General features: G+C 40.1%; 1 protein-coding gene across 6 annotated transcripts in view; it reads right to left on the bottom strand.

Moving 5' to 3' along the window:
* Positions 1-17,784, bottom strand: part of DDX46 (DEAD-box helicase 46) — a 72,343-nt gene that overhangs the window by 33,657 nt on the left and 20,902 nt on the right. For 2 of the 6 annotated variants that reach the window (NM_001300860.2, NM_014829.4), the window contains exons 7-15: positions 16,219-16,332; positions 15,379-15,544; positions 14,400-14,520; positions 12,924-13,099; positions 11,879-12,000; positions 8,874-8,952; positions 6,913-6,995; positions 2,451-2,615; positions 1,315-1,477 (exon numbers count right to left, since the gene is read on the bottom strand). In NM_001300860.2, coding sequence (NP_001287789.1) covers positions 1,315-1,477; positions 2,451-2,615; positions 6,913-6,995; positions 8,874-8,952; positions 11,879-12,000; positions 12,924-13,099; positions 14,400-14,520; positions 15,379-15,544; positions 16,219-16,332 — 1,189 coding nt within the window. Of the gene's footprint in view, positions 1-1,314; positions 1,478-2,450; positions 2,616-6,912; positions 6,996-7,242; positions 7,360-7,850; positions 8,250-8,873; positions 8,953-11,878; positions 12,001-12,923; positions 13,100-14,399; positions 14,521-15,378; positions 15,545-16,218; positions 16,333-17,784 lie in introns of those variants that run through there. The other 4 variants (NR_125341.2, XR_948313.4, XR_007058668.1 and 1 more) reach the window with 4 other exon arrangements.

Below are 17,784 nucleotides of genomic sequence, written 5' to 3'. Positions count from 1 at the left end.
CTCCTAGTCAAGAGCCAGTACCAATTTGCCAGCCACATAAAGTGAGGTAGATTGGTAGGTGATGCCCAGCTCCACTGTGTCCCAGCACATACAGCATGAAACAGAGACTAGATATATATAGTGAGCTCTGCGCAAATTGAAGATTCATAAGCAAAATAAGTAACTATTGCAACTAAATTTTGGAGTGATTCATTACTAAGCTACTGATAGCCAGAACACTTAGTTAATGAGAATAATTCAAACTGTCTCTGTTCCATGTGTTTTGTGTTTTTTTTTTTTTTTTTTTTTTTTTTTTTTGAGACGGAGTTTCACTCTTGTTGCCCAGGCTGGAGTGCAATGGTGCAATCTCCGCTCACCGCAACTTCTGCCTCCCGGCAACCTCCGCCTCCTGGGTTCAAGCGATTCTCCTGCCTCGGCCTCCCAAGTAGCTGGGATTACAGGCATGCACCACCATGCTCGGCTAATTTTGTATTTTTAATAGAGACGGGTTTCTCCATGTTGGTCAGGCTGGTCTCGAACTCCCAACCTCAGGTGATCCGCCCGCCTCAGCCTCTCAAAGTTCTGGGATTACAGGTGTGAGCCACCTCGCCTGGCCTTTTTTTTTTTTTTTTATGGAGAGAGTCTCACTCTGTTGCCCAGAGTGGAGTGCAGTGGCATGATCTCAGCTCACAGCAACCTCCGCCTCCCAGGTTCAAGCGGTTCTCCTGCCTCAGCCTCCCAAGTAGCTGGGATTACAGGCATGTGCCACCATGCCCAGCTAAGTTTTATATTTTTAGTACAGATGGAGTTTCGCCATGTTGGCCAGACTGGTCTCCAACTCCTGACCTCAGATGATCTGCCCGCCTCAGCCTCTCCAAGTGCTAGGATTACAGGCGTGAGCTACCATGCCCGGTCTGTGTTTTGTGTTCTAGTTCCACATACTGTGATATTGCTATTACATGCATGTGATAGCAATATCACAAGAAATTAAAACGTTACTTTGAAATTTCAATAAAAGCTCTTTAAAGTGAATCATGAAAACCTACAGATAGCACGTACAATGGAAAGGGTATAACACAGAGAAAAGTTAAATTCAATTCCTCCATAGTTGATAAATGGCGATGGAACTTGGTCAAACCAAAGTATGCCTGTATGATCTTCTTTCTCTTAGATGAGACAATAATAATCTTACTCCCACAAAGCACTTTAGAGTAAAAACTGACATAAAATTTAGTTCTGAATTATAGAGAACAAAGTAAGTATCATCGAGAACACAGCACAATGCTTGGCAAGTACTTAATAGATATTTTATGTGTGAATCAAGTGAATAATTACCTCCATGAAGAGACATGCAAGGATAAGATGCTCTCATTAAATCCTTAAGAAGACCATCAGCATGTTCCTGCTTATCCACAAATATAATGACAGATCCTGACTCTTGATAATGGCCTAGAAGCTCAAGTAACTTCAAGAATTTCTTTTCTTCTTCAATCACAATCTGAAAACACCATATTGTATCAAGTTAATGAAGTGAAAATGCAAATGGATCCCCTGGACAGAAATATTCATTTTATTTGTAGTGAATGAATGACAATATCTTGCTATATCTTTACCAAGGGCTAGGAAGATGTTGATTTTAATTGTAAATGATAAAAATTGTAAACTTTCAGGGTTTAACAGGCTTGCAAATGAGGGCAAATGATCATCTGTTCTCTCTGGCTCTTAATTTCATATCCTAGTAACCAAGAAATAAAATAGATATGTAACATTTCTTTTTCCTTTGTAGAGACAGGGGTCTCACTATATTGCCCAAGCTAGTCTCCAGCTCCTGGCCTCAAGTGATCCTCCTACCATGGTCTCCCAAAATACTGGGATTACAGGCATGAGTCACCATGCCCATCTGGTATGTGACATTTCTATATATCAGCTCACCATTCACCACTCACCACTTTTGGTGACAGAAACTAAAACAACGTTTTATTTTACTTGTCTTTAAACAGACAGGGCTCACTATGCCTAGGGTGCTATTCACAGATGTGCTCCAACTACAATCAGCACAAAAGTTTTGACCTGTTCTGTTTTTCTGCCCTGGACAGAATATCCCATTCTTTAGGCAATCTGGTGGTCCCCTGTTACCGGGAGGTCACCACACTGATGCTGAACTTAGCATGGACAAAGATAGGCATAGTGCACTACAGCCCAGAACTCCGGGGACTGCAAAGCTGCGACTTCAGGCATGCACCACTGCACCCAGCAAAAAAAAAACAAAAAAAAAAAAAAACAAGCATTTTAAATAGCTCCGTGGAACAGCACAGTTAAGTTTATCTGGTAAAATACTGAAGGCTAGAGTAGTGGTATACGACTTGATTTTAGAAATTACCTTGCCTACCTCACAAACAGTGATCATAGAAGAATCATACATACCACCTAAGTATCAAGGAAACTGGGAATTTCCTAAAGATGGTACCCACCACTTGTTGCTCCACATCTGAGCAAACCACACTCCTGCCTCCAACTTGTACTTCAATAGGTTTACTGAGGATCCTGCGAGCCAAAGCCTCCATAGCTCTGGGGAAAGTAGCTGAAAACATAACCGTCTGTCGATCAGGACGAACATTATCCACGATGCGCATGACCTGAGAAAAAGAAAACATTACAAATAAATATGGTAAATATGGTCTTCAAAGCTTATGCAATGTTAAAACCAAGTAAAAGGAACTTTTGAGAACAACTGTCTCAGTTTTGCCACTCCCACAGTCTCCCAATCTCAAGAAATGACAACTCCACACATGCTTAGGACAAAAATCTAGGAGACATCTTTGATTAATCTCTGTCACTCATCTTACAACCAATCCATCAACAAATATAGTGGTCTATCTTCAAATTATATCTAGGATACAACCAACTACCACTGTTTTCCTTCATTTATTCAACACATTTTTATTAAAGACCCATTTTGAACCAGGTACTGTTCTAAGTACTAGGAATATGCAACAAAAACAGACAAAAAGAGGAGGATTCTGGGAAGTTGGCAGAACAGGAATCACCAGGAATCTGTATCCACACCTAGACAACAATTGTGCTGATAGAATCTGTCTGATGTAACCACTTTGGAACTCTGGAGCCTACAGAAGGTTTGCAACTTCCTGAGAAAAGCCTGGAAGATAAATTGTGGCTATTTTCTGCCATTTTCAGCTGGTAGCACAGTAGCAGTTAACCATCCCCCACATACAGCCCAACAGCAGGCAGGCGTACACATGTTTCTGAAGCAAACTGTACAGAGCTTGCAAGAGCCAGGGTCATCAAGAAGGACTCTGTCCTCCAAATACGGAGGATCTCTGCTCTGATTGCTACTCTGATCACAGAGGTGAAGACAAAGAGACACCTGCCTGTTATTGTTGCATTCACACCCCGCCAACCACTACAAGCCCGGACCTCTCAAGCTGAAGTGACTAGCAGGGGATTTAAAATCTGATGCCCCTTCCCTCTGCCTTAATTTTTCTCCTTTCGACAGCCAAAAATTAAATACTAGGAGATTAAAAAACAAATGAATATCCAGAGAAAATTACAAAGTAACCACACATAGAGAATACCACAGGCTCAGAAAACACATGAAATGACCTTAAGTTTACACCTCAGGGCAATCCTTGCCAGACTGCCTACAACAATCAAAAATAAAAATAATAAACAATAACAGTAATAAAAAACAGTAAACCCTAGGGAAAGGGGAGAATCTGATTCCCAAGTTACCACATTACTAAATTCAACTGTTCAGTTTTCAGGCTGGGTGTGGTGGCTCAGGCCTATAATCCCAGCACTTTGGGAGGTCAAGGCAGGCGGATCACTTGAGCTCAGGAGTTCGAGACCAGTCCAGCCAACATGGTGAAACCCTGTCTCTACTAAAAATACAAAAATTAGCCAGGCATGGTGGCACGTGCCTATAATACCAGCTACTCAGGAGGGTGAGGCAGGAGAATCACTTGAACCTGGGAGGCGGAGGTTGCAGTGAGCCACTGCACTTCAGCCTAGGTGACAGAGTGAAACTCTGTCTCAAAATAAATAAATAAATAAAAATAATTCCCAATTCTCACTATTTTCAATACAGAATCATGCCTGGAAGCACACTACTGCTTGCCAACTCTTCTCTAGGCATAAGTCAGTGTGCAGCTTTGCATTCAATAGCACTAGCTTTCATTTACATGACAGTGTCTTTTGTTGCTACACCTCCAAATAGTGCTGCATGACACTGAAACCTTACTTAGTGTTTTTTTAATCTATGAAGCTCACAAAATAATCACAAACTAAATCGAAATTTTCCTCTTTTTTCTTGAGACACGGTCTCACTCTGTCGCCCAGGCTGGAGTGCAGAGGTATTATGTTGGCTCACCACAGCCTCTATCTCCCAGGCTCAAGCAATCCTGCTACTTCAGCCTCCTGAGTAGCTGGGACGATAGGCGCATGCCCCCACACCCAGCTAATTTTTATATTTTTTTGTAGAGACGAGGTTTCGCCATGTTGCCCCCTGCTTGTCTTGAACTCCTGAATTCAAGCAATCCACCTGCCTCGACCTCCCAAAGTGCAGAGATCCTAAGCATACATCACCACGCCAAGCCTCCAGCAGGTTTTCAGTTATCAACAAACAATTATTCAGCATTTCTCTCTCATGTACTTATACACATGTACATACGCACATACATGTACCTAAGCACATACACGGACATAAATACATGAGATAATGCTGAATTAATCATTTATTTTGTTTATATGTACTTATGTACCTGTATGTATTTATGGCAAGGAATGATTCACACTTTGCCTTTCAATGGAAAATGTTGTGTTGAACTCACTCTATAAGAACTTGGTTTACCAGAAGGTCCCTATCAATCACTCTATCTACTTAAAGCATTATAATAAAATCTAAGATTTCACATGATTGGGAAAGACATTAAAGGGCATGTGACTGTGTTCCATCTGACACTTCAATTCTCTTTACTCTCTTACCACAACAAACAGACCCCTTGACTCTGCTTGAACACCTGGAAGAAACAGATATTCAGTATATCCGCCCCCGCTCCCTCACGAAGCAATGTTTCCTCTCCAAATAATGTTTATTCAGTCCTTCCTCAAACTAAACTCAGATCAAGCTCCATATGACTTCCCCACTGGATCCCATTTGTACTCCTTGGGATGAAAAAAATAAATTCAATGCTGCTTTCATGTGACACTTGTTCAGAGTTAAAGGATGCTATCTTATCTTCTACTCAAAGCTGATTATTATTACTATTATTATTATTATATTATTATTTTTTGAGACTAAGTCTCGTTCTATCACCCAGGCTTAAGTACAGTAATGCGATCTCGGCTCCCTACACCCTGTGCCTCCCAGGTTCAAGTGATCCTCCTGACTCAGCCTCCCAAGTAGCTGGGATTACAGGCGCCCGTCACCATGTCCAGCTAATTTTTGTATTTTTAGTAGAAACGGGGTTTCACGATGTTGGCCAGGCTAGGCTGATCTCCTGACTTCAAGTGATCTGCCTGCCTCGGCCTCCCAAATTGCTGGGATTAAAGGCATGAGCCACCATTCCCTGCCCAAAGCTAAATATCATTTTAACTGTTTCGCATATGGTTCAAGCATTACCATAATCCTGCTTCCTCTGTGTTCCTCTATTTACATCTCATTTAGAATGCAGTCCCTAAATCTAAATACAATACATGCACTAACATATAACTGGCAATAAATTTTTGGAGAGTACATGGATAAACTGAAAAGGCTAAATATGACATTTGCCTTATCCCTTTTCCATGCACATTTCCATTACTATGGTCTCTTATAATCCTTTTTTATTCATTTTTTGGCAACTACAGCCTACTGACAATTCACAATGATCTTCTTAAGAAAACCTTCTACCACTTTTTTTTTTTTTTGAGACGGAGTCTCGCTCTGTCTCCCAGGCTGGAGTGCAACAGCGTGATCTCAGCTCACTGCAAGCTCCGCCGCCCGGGTTCACGCCATTCTCCTGCCTCAGCCTCCTGAGTAGCTGGGACTACAGGCGCCTGCCACCAAGCCCGGCTAATTTTTTTGTATTTTTAGTAGATATGAGGTTTCACCGTGAAAGCCAGGATGGTCTCGATCTCCTGACCTCATCTACCACCTTTAAAATGTGTTCCTATAAATGTGTATCACTGAAATTTTGTACCTGAGCAAAGAGCATATATAAGGAACATAAAAACCTAAGCTAGATAAATTCTTTGGGCCATTATCTTAGCAAACGTGAATGACTTTGGTAAACGTAAATGACGTGCTATCTAGACTAGATAATGAGGTATCTAAAAGCATGAATTAAAAGAATTTATTTAAAAAGACAATGGGCCGGGCACAGTGGCTCACGCCTGTAATCCCAACACTTTGGGAGGCCAAGGCGGGTGGATCACCTGAGGTCAGGAGTTCGAGACCAGCCTGGCCAACGTGGTGAAACTCCATCTCTATTAAAAAGTTAACCGGGCGTGGTGGCGGGCACCTGTAGTCCCAGGTACTCGGGAGGCTGAGGCAGGAGAATCGCTTGAACCCAGGAGGCAGAGGTTGCAGTGAGTAGTGATCGTTCTCCACTGCACTGCAGTCTGGGCGACAGAGCAAGACTCCATCTGAAAAAAAAAAATAAGGCTTAAGCTCTATTATTAGCACTCCAATTCTAGCTTTGTTGGTGTTGGTCTTAGATGGCTAAGAAATGCCGGTATAAATACCTCCTGAAGAAGTTTTGTGAGGAATCTGAAACATAAATATGTACTTCAATACTGTATGTCCCCAGTCTTCTGTATTACCGTGCAACAGAAAAGTGTGTGTGTGAATTTCAGAAACCACATGAACATTTCATTCTCATGGCAACTACAAAGTTATATTTACATTTCAAAACACTTAAGAAATTTAATGATTACCTGGGGTTCAAAACCCATGTCAAACATTCTGTCTGCTTCATCTAAAACAACATATGTCACTCTTCGAAGATTTGTGACCCGACCTAAGATGAAAAGAAAAATAAAGACAAAAAGAAAACTAAAAATCAGTCACAATTCATTTTATGGCTACCAAGAACTTTTAAAAACTGTAAAGGAAACTAAAATGCCTGACTTAACCAGAGGGGTAAGTTAGGTATCTTTAAAAAGTGAAAAGAAATTTTGATCTACAATGTCTTAATCTAGTGGCAAATACTTTCTGACAATGGGTATATGAGGCCCTTTATTTTGTCAAACTCGTCTCTTGCATACCATCATAGGGCCTGAAGAACCTGTAAAATTCAGAAAACAGCCCTCTCCAAAACACATCATAAAACTAAGACTGAGATGAAGCATCGAGCCACATCAGCCATTATCTGACAGCATCACCTAGAAAAAAACATATTAGAGATTACAGCGTATGTGTGGAAAGCAAGTTCTAGTGCTAACTATTTTAGACACAGAAAATGTCTCTCTATATTATTTTATAACCTACTTCCATATATTTAGAAGCTTCTTAAATGGGCATGTCAAACCCTTAATGAGAAGCTATTTGACAGCATTAGGAAATTAAAGTATCACACAAAAACTTTAAATACCAAAACACATTACATAAATACATTTTCCATACAAAGATATAAATCCCAATTTTATTAAGTGAACCCACTGACTTAAATAAATGCAACTGGCTTCCTAACCAGTGAAAACAAAATACATACATAGGAAATTCCTTCTAAAATATTAACAGAAGCATTGCTATCAACTGTTGAATCAATCACCTGGCAAAAACACGTATAAAATAGTTATTTAAAAATAGACCACAATGACAGATAAGAGAAAAAGGTAAAATTAATCAAGATGAATTTCAGGAGGAGACTTAATCAATGCAGCATTGAGAAAAAAAAAAAGGGATTATTTAATCAGCATTCAAACCAAAACTTTCCATATGCTAGACAAGCACAATGACTTCTCAATTTCGATGTCACTTTGCCAACTTCATGTACAATTAGAATTAGAAATTCAAGCAGAATACTACTAGAAACATGCACTAACTCAGTTTTTAATACTCTATTATGTACACACTAAATATTGCAATGGAAACCTCTGAGAGCATTTTCTTCAAAAAATAAAAAGTGCCAAAATAAGTGCTATCTAATATTTAAGTATTCCACACTAGCATTTGTAGCCCCAATTAGTTTTGCAAGGTCGGGAACAGCATTAAATTACCTACCTTTGATGGTTTAAGTCTCGGAAGCCCAGTTCTATAAATCTTGAAGGGCCTTTCTCCACAGAAGTTAAATAATGTCAACAGTTTAGTAAGAGTTTTGATAGGGAATAATTTAACAAAGCATAACATTTGAGCTACAAACATGCAATATTTACAAAAGATAAAATTTCTTGAAGCTGCAATATCTTAATTTATGTAGTATCTAAGAAAATACTAGCTCATGTGGAGAAAAAGTCTAAATTTTGTAATAAAGAAAAAGCTACTACCCCACTCTTTTACTAAGCAAAGCCAGGCCAAAACTGGATTAAGAATCCAAGTTATGATCAGATGGAGTTACTTCTGAAAAAAAATTTTAAATTGCAAAAATATCATTAATGCTTGTAATAATCAACTTGTTACAATTATTATTTTTTTTTTTTGAGACGGAGTCTTACTCTGTCACCCAGGCTGGAGTACAGTGGTGCGATCTTGGCTCACTGCAAGCTCCGCCTCCCGGGTTCAAGCTATTCTCCTGCCTCAGCCTCCCAAGTAGCTGGGACTACAGGCTACAAATTTTAAGATACTGCAGCTTTAAGAAGAAATATAGAAACCCTTTGTTGGTTTCTTGCATCTGTTTTAACAAAAAAAAGTAAAGAATTCAAAAATAAAAGACACCAAAAAAATACCCCTGACTTACCACTGTTAGCGGCTAACATGTCAATCATTCGACCAGGTGTGCAAACAATAATTTCAGCACCTCTTTTCAGCTCAGCAATCTAATAAAAAAGATGAAACTTTATAGTCTATTACTAATGCTTACTTAAACACTAAAAAATACTGCATTTAGTTCTTGCCTAGTCTAATTAGAAGACTTCCAAGCTTCCTGCTTAATTATTTTGAATCTCGGGGCACTACTAAAGAAATAGCAACAACGTGACCACATAGTGCCATAAATTTGAAACAAATAAGAACTAGAGAATTCTGCAAATTTGATTTGCCACTATCCCTCAAAACCAAGAAATGAACTTAAGAAAGCAGTTTAAAAAAAAAAAGTGATAATCTCTTGAGCCCAGGAGTTCAAGGTTGGAGTGAGCTATGATCACATCCTTGCACTCCAGCCTGAGCAAGAGCAAGACCCTGCCTCAGAAAAAGAAATTTCTAAGTGACCACATAGACTAGTGTTTTTCAAATTGAGGGTTGCCACATTAGTGAATCATGAAATCACTTTAACAGTCATAATCAGCTTTTTTTTTTTTTTTTTTTGAGACAGGGTCTCACTCTGTTGCCCAGGCTCTGTTGCCCAGTGCAGCAGTGTCATCATAGGTCATTGCAGCCTAGATCCTGGGCTCAAGTGACCCTCCCATCTCAGCCCCTCCCCCCACCACCCCACACACCCTCCCAGTATCTAGGACTACAGGCACTCGCTAATTTATTTACTGTTTTAAGAGATGGGGTCTCACTACATTGCCCAGGCTGGTCACAAACTCCTGGACTCAAGTGATTCTTCCATTTCAGCCTCCCAAAATGCTGTGATGATTACAGGTATGAGCCATAGTGTTCAACCACAACCAGCATTTTTTAAATGAAATGGAATGGAAAATACCAGAAGTCCCTTAACATCATAAAACTTTTGTTTGGCATTTATATAAATACAACGTGCAGGCATGTACCATGTTATTTTGTAAGTGTATTTCTACAAACTACAGTCATGAAAAATCATAAAGATAAACTTAGAAAATGAAGTAATTTGAAGTAATTAAAATAGCACTGGAGTTAACAAAAGCAAATATTCTTGAAGTGTGTTCTTGTAACAATAGTCCTAAGAAACAGTTTTGTAGTTAAGTTCAGAAAACGTCACTTAATTTATCCCATTTATCTAGCAACACAATATACATTAGCTTATTAAGAACAAAGAAGTCTTACAGGAAAGAAAGTGGTTTTAACTTTTTATACTCCAACATTTCCAAAACTTATCCAATCACAGAACCTACTTTTTTGCCTTCTTCTAGTTAAGCAAAATATCTGAAAACTATTTCATTCTTTAGAAGACAGCTGAAGGGCTGGTCACAGTGGCTCACGTCTATACCTTTCGGAGGTGTTACAAAGGGAAGCCAAGGCAAGCAGATTGCTTGAGCCCAGGAATTCAAGACCAGCCTGGGCAACATGGCAAAACCTCGTCTCTACAAAAAAATACAAAAACTAGCCGGGTGTGGTAGCATGCGTCTGTGGTCCCAGATACTCAGGAGGCTCAAGAGGGAGGACGGCTTAAGCCCAGGAGGTCAAGGATGCAGTGAGCCAAGGTCACACCACTGCACTCCAGCCCGGGCAACAGAGTAAGATGCTGTCTCCAATAAAACAAAACCAAAAAACAACAACAACAACAACAACAAAACACCTCTGATATTAATGCATCCCAGTAATCACCATCACTTCCGCCACCCCCCAAGATGGAGTCTTGCTCTGTCTCCCAGGCTGGAGTGCAGTGGCGTGATCTCAGCTTACTGCAACCTCCGCCTCCCAGGTTCAAGTGATTCTCCTGCCTCAGCCTACCGAGTAGCTGATATTACAGGCAGGCGCCACCAAGCCAGGCTAATTTCTGTGTTTTCAGTAGAGACGGGGAGTCTCGCCATGTTGGCTAGGCTGGTCTTGAGCTCCTGACCTCATGATCCACCCGCTTCGGCCTCTCAAAGCGCTGGGATTACAGGCATGAGCCACCGTGCCTGGCCACCATCACTTTTTAAAGATGTCAGCATAGATTAGAGAAACAAATGCTCAGAGATCAGAGACCTAGGTTCCAGGACAAACTCTAGAACGTATTAACCTAATTGGTCAACTTAATAAATCTTTCTGAATATTTCCTCATATGTAAAATGAAAAAAAAAATCTGCTTTCTCAGGCAGGGGAAGAGGGAGGAGGGATAATCTATGTAAAAAGATTCAAAAATTCTAATCTAGCATTAACATAGTATGTTCTTTTTTGCCACAACTATATTGGGTCATAATTAACAAAAATTATATATATTTAAGGTGTACAACATGTTTGATATACATATACACTCTGAAATGATGAACACAATCAAGCTAACATATCACCTCATATAGTTACCAATATTTTCTTTTGTGGTAAGAACATGTAAGATTGGTCAGGCACGGTGGCTCACACCTGTAATCCCAACACTTTGGGAGGCCGAGGCAGGAGGATCACCTGAGGTCAGGTGTTCAAGACCAATCTGGCCAATATGGTGAAACCCCGTCTCTACTAAAAATACAAAAATTAGCCAGGCGTGGTGGCAGGCACCTGTAGTCCCAGCAACTTGGGAGGCTGAGGTAGGAGAATCGCTTGAACCAGGGAGGCAGAGGTTGCAGTGAGCCGAGATCGCGCCACTGTACTCCAGCCTGTGTGACAGAGCGAGACTCCATCTCAAAAAAGAAAAAAAAAAAACATGATGTGAGATCTACTGGCTTAGCGAATTTTCAGCACACAATATAACATTAACTAGTCACCATGCTGTACATTACATCTCCAAAGGTATTCATCCTACATAAAATAACTAATTCTTACTATTATTTTTATACTTCATTTTTTAAATGATTTTAGAAGCAATCACTATTCAAAAAACTAAAAGTAAAAGTCACTTTTACTTTATTGAATCATCCAACTTGAGAAAAGAATGGAAAACATGAATGTTTCTTATATAACTACCTGCTCACTGATTCCTGTTCCTCCGTAAACACAGACCACTCTAAGTCCCAAAGTCTTGGAAAACTTCTTACACTCTTTAGTAATCTGTAAAGCCAGTTCTCGAGTTGGAGTCATGATGACAGCTGGAAAGATAAATACATCAGTAGCCTAACCACCAAAATTCTTAAGGCTGTGCTTTATAGTGTTCAATTTAACCTTTACAATAAAGTTCAGATTGTTTCACCTAATTTTTGTTTTGTTATGCATCCCTGAAAACTATTTCAAAAGTTGTATAACAGCAGAGGTTGTGGGGAAGGATAAATATAAGCAGATTTTTAAAAACATGCTAAAAGAAGATAAATGACAGTTAAATGCCTCATCCAACCCTCAGGAAAATACTTGGTTCAAAAGAATGCAAACAGTTTTCTAATGCAAATCACAGAACAAAGAAAATCAAGTGACTCACTGTGCCACAGAAGCCATACTGCTGCTTCCAGAAACAACCTTGGTCTGAGGGGCACAGACAGAGGAGAGATATACTATGCCCCGTGTTCCTAAGAGAGAAGCTGAACAACTTTCCAAAACCCTACTCAACTTTCCAAGAGTTATCTCTGCCAAGATGAATCAAGAAACCAGAATCTAAACAAGTAATCTTGAATGAAATGCTGGCATTATAGCCTGTTAAGGCCAAAAACTACCTAGGAAAATATGTTTCCCTAGGATATCTTCCATGTCGCTTTTATATATCCACTGATACTGGGCTAACAAACCTCAATATAAATAAACAGATAGATGCACGAGGAGTCTACCTGCCAAGTCAGAGTTTAAAAACTGAGCTGTGCCAGGAGAGGCTGTTTTTGTACTTCTGAGATGTCACTCCAGAGCTCTGAAGATTCTCACTCCACCTGCTGGTAAGGGGAAATCAGCCCCAAAGTGCCAAATTGATAAAGAAAATGTACATAAAGACAACTTCATTGTCATAATTAAGAACATTATAAACTATAAGGTCTTTCTGTTTGACAACAAAGCTGTTATTTGAAAAATAGTTTAATGAAAAGAATTGTACCTATTGGCCCCTCTCCTTCCTCTAATGACCTCTGATCCATGATGTGTCTAAACATGGGCAACAGAAAAGCAATGGTCTTTCCACTTCCTGTTTTGGCAATGCCAATCAAATCTCGTCCAGACATTATAGCAGGAATAGCTTGGGTTTGGATGGGCGTGGGCTTTTCATAGCCATGCCTTAAAAAGAAAACCAAAGGAAGAAAAGGTAAGAATTGAGATTGCTGGGCCCCAGACAGGTCCTATGTGTTCCCATAAAAATGAACTTCCAAAAGGTGGTATATATCATACAATAAAATACTATTTGGCAATAAAAAGGAATGAAGTACTAACACATTCTACAATATGGACTAATCTTTACAACATTATGTAAAGTGAAAAAGATCAGGCAGTAAAGACTATATATTGTTTGATCCCATTTACATGAAATGTTAGGAATAGCCAAATCTATTCTAGAGACAAAAAATAGATTAATGGTTGCCCAGGGGTGGGGAGAGGGGAGAAGACTGACTACTAATGGACAAAAGTTTCTTTTTGGGATAATGAAAAATTTAAAAATTAGGCAGGGCGCAGTGGTTCATGACTGAAATCCCAGCATTCTGGGAGGCTGAGATGGGAGAATCATTTGGGGCCAGGAGTTGGAGACCAGCCTGGTCAACATAGCGACACCCCATCTCTTAAAAAAAAAAAAAAAAAAGGCCGGCCTTGGTGGCTCACGCCTGTAATCCCAGTACTTTCAGAGGCCGCAGCGGGTGGATCATCTGAGGTAGAGAGTTCGAGACCACCCTCACCAACATGGAGAAACCCTGTCTCTACTAAAAATACAAAATTAGCCAGGCATGGTGGCACATGCCTGTAATCCCACCTACTTGGGAGGCTGAGGCAAAAGTATCACTTGAACCCAAGAGGCGGAGGTTGCAGTGAGCCAAGATCGAGCCACAGCACTCCAGCCTGGGCAACGAGAGTGAAACTCCGTCTCAAAAAAAAAAAAAAAAGGCCGGGCATGGAGGCTCACGCCTGTCATCCCAGCACTTTGGGAGGCTGAGGCGGGCGGATCACCTGAGGTCAGGAGTTCAACGCCAGCCTGACCAACATGGTGAAACCCTGTCTCTACTAAAAATAAAAATAACCAGCTATGGTGGCACACACCTATAGTTTCAGCTACTCGGAAGGCTGAGGCAGGAGAACTGCTTGAGCCCGGGAGGCCGAGGTCACAGTGAGCGCAGTGAGATTGCACCACTGCACTCCACCCTGGGCAACAGAGCAAGACTCTGTCTCAAAAAACAAAACAAAACAAAACAAAAAAAAACCAGTTGTATAATTTAAAGGGTAAATTTTGATATATAAATTATCTCAATGAAAGTTTTTTAAAACGTAAGGGTTTTTTTAGAGTAAAAATGTAACTCAGGGAGACACTGGTGTGGAAGGACTATTTTGAGCAGCAAGACACGGAAAACATAAACAACCACCAACCACTTACTTCTTGAGGGAATTTAAGATCTTCATGGAAATTCCACACTGGACCCAGGATTTAATTGGTTTGGGGCAACCTTTTCCTTTAACTGTAATGCCCTCCATTTCCAATCGAAACACATTTACCTCTACAAAACAAAACCCAGATTAAAAGTTCTTAAATATTGTTCTATTGGTGTCTTCTACTTTTCAATTAGGCATAAGATTAACAAACTTTAACTCTTATGCCAGACCCAGCGGCTCACACCTGTAATCCTAGCAACTAGCACTTTGGGAGACAGACGCAGGCAGATCACTTGAACCCAGGAGTTGAAGACCAACCTGGGCAACATGGTGAAACCCTGTCTCAACAAAAAGTACAAAAATTAGCTGGGTGTGGTGGCACATGTCTGTAGTCCCAGCTACTCGGGAGGCTGACATAGGAAGATCACCTGAGCCTGGGGTGGGAACGGGGGGTGTGGTAGGAAATCAAGGCTACAGTGAGCAATGACTGCACCACTGCACTCCAGCCTCTAGCCTGGGCAATGGAGTGAGACCCTGTCTCAAAAAAAAAACAAAACAAAACCAACAATTTTTTTTATTTTTGTATTTTTTTAGTAGAGATGGGGTTTCACCATATTGGCCAGGATGGTCTCAAACTCTTGACCTTGTGATCTGCCCGCCTTGGCCTCCCAAAGTGCTAGGATTACAGGTGTGAGCCACTGTGCCCAGCCTAGTTTTTTGTATTTTAGTAGAGACGGGGTTTCACTGTATTGCCCAGGCTGGTCTCGAACTTCTGAGCTCAGACAATCCGCCCACCTCAGCCTCCCAAAGTGCTTAGATTACAGGCGTGAGCCACCGCAGCTGGCCAATTAATTTTTGATCATTTTAAAAATATTTCCAAAACACCCTCCTTCATGAGACACTATCCACATTTCTCTTGAGCAATGTGAAATGTATCCTCTTCTGTTCCCTTATAACCAGTAAATGAAAAAATGGAATTTTACCTTCTTGAGACATTTTTGCTAGTTCTGGAACTTCAACATAGAAGTTTTTCCTAAATGGCTCATACTCAATTTTTCCATGATCAACTGGTTCTAGAAGCTTTCGCTGTTTTGTTTGATACCCTGTAAGGGCTGTCTGAAGATCAACTTCTTCCTCCTCTGAAGAATACTATAGTTTAAAAGAAAAAATTAAAGCGCTAAGTTCATTACTATTTTCCCCTTGTGGGAAGCAATACTCCTAGCTTTTCAAATCTTCCTCTCCTAGAAACTACTCTAATATTTTACTTTCTACGACACACTGTTTGACCCACAAGATTTTTATAGTGCTCCAGCACACTTAAACCTCATAATTTTAAAATCACCTCAAATGACGTATGACACCTTGAATTAGAAACGTATCAAGCAGCTCCTGAAGAATTTTTCAACTTAGTTTTTTTTTCTTTGCCTTTAGAAGGTTAAAATGCCAATATAAAGCTAAAACAGTAATCATCAGAGACAGCTCTAATAAGGCTTTGCTACTGTTTTTACTATATAAATCTTTACGTGTTAATGGAAAGAAAATTAATTCATTCTGTTACTCCATTTTTTTCTCTCCATATTGTATGCCTGAAGTGAGCTGATGAGGGGCAGAAAGATCATACAGTTAGGAATGAAGACATCAGAATGTTCCACTAAACAGATATTTAACTAGATACTATTATACTACTAAGAATAGCAAGAATGTCTCTCAATTCTGGGAATTTCTCCTAGCTCACACAAATGAAACGCACATCTCCATGAATGCTTTCTAATAAATGCTTCCAGGATAGTATCATAAACAAAGTCAAAATTAAGAAAAATCACCTCCATGGCATCCTGGTCATTCTCCATCAGCTCACCTTTCTTCTTATCAGAATCCACAACTGCTTTTTTGGTTGTCACAACAGTGACAACTTTTGTGACCGTTGGCCCAGACTTCTAAAATAAAGAACAAATATAGAATATTTTGCAAAGCTGAAACACAAGTTATATGACTGCTGAAGCACACAGTAACTGACACAATTTCATCTTTAGTTTTTTTTCTTTTTTTAGTGACATGGTCTCAGTCACCCAGGCTTGAGTGGTGTGATCATAGCTCACTGTAACCTCAAATTTCTGGGCTCAAGGATTCGTCCCATCAGTCCTCCTGAGTTGCTAGGACTACAAGCACATGTCACCAAACCCAGTTAATTTTTTTTGTTTTTTAGTAGAAAGAGTCATGCTATGTTGCCCAGGCTGGTCTTGAACTACTTGGCTCCAGTGATCCACCAGCCTCAGCCTACCAAAGTTCTGGGATTGCAGGTGTGAGCCAGGGCACTGAGCCAACTGAGTTATTAAATGAAAAGACAAACAATAGCCTGTTTTTCTCATTAATTTGTATAAATTTTTAAGCATAATATAATTATATTTTATAATACATCCATTCATAATTTACTGTATTATAAATAATTTTATATAATTATACATACTTTATTTATTTATTTATTTATTTATTTATTTATTTATTGAGATAAAGTTTTGCTCTTGTCACCCAGGCTGGAGTGCAATGGCATGATTTCAGCTCACTGTAACCTCTGCCTCCTGGATTCAAGCAATTCTCCTGCCTCAGCCTCCCCAGGAGCTGGGATTACAGGCACCCGCCACTAGTCCGGCTAATTTTTGCATCTTTAGTAGAAACAGGGTTTCATCATGTTGGCAGGCTGGTCTCGAACTCCTTACCTCAGGTAATCCACCCACCTCAGCCCCTGCAAAAGTGCTGAGATGACAGGCGTGAGTCAGCACACCCAGCCAATTATATATAACAATAATATATATAAAAATATATAATATATACACATATACGCACACACATATACACACATATACACATACACATACATATATACATACACACATATACATATACACATATACATGCACATATATACATATACACACACACACACACACACACACACACACACACACACACATATATTTTTTTCAGACTGAGTCTTATTCTGTCACCCAGGCTAGAGTACAGTGGTGTGATCTAGGCTAATTGCTCCCAGTTCAAGCTATTCCCCTGCCTCAGCCTCCCAAGTAGCTTGGATTAGAGGCGTCCGCCATCACACCCAGCTAATTCTTGTATTTTTAGTAGAGATGGCATTTTGCCATGTTGGCCAGGCTGATCTCTAACTCCTGACCTCAGGTGATCCGTCTGCCTCGGCCTCCCAAAATGTTGGGATTACAGGCATGAGCCACCACGTCCGGCATGATTATGTATTTTTAAACTACTACTAGGCTAGGTACAGTGGTTCATGTGTGTAATCCCAGCACTTTGGGAGGCCAAGACAGGAAGATCACTTGAGTCCAGGAGTTCGAGACCAGCCTGGGTAACACGTGAGATTC

Source organism: Homo sapiens, chromosome 5 (assembly GCF_000001405.40).
Source record: "Homo sapiens chromosome 5, GRCh38.p14 Primary Assembly".
NCBI lineage: Eukaryota > Metazoa > Chordata > Mammalia > Primates > Hominidae > Homo > Homo sapiens.
This window is presented reverse-complemented; position numbering and strand designations above follow the sequence as displayed.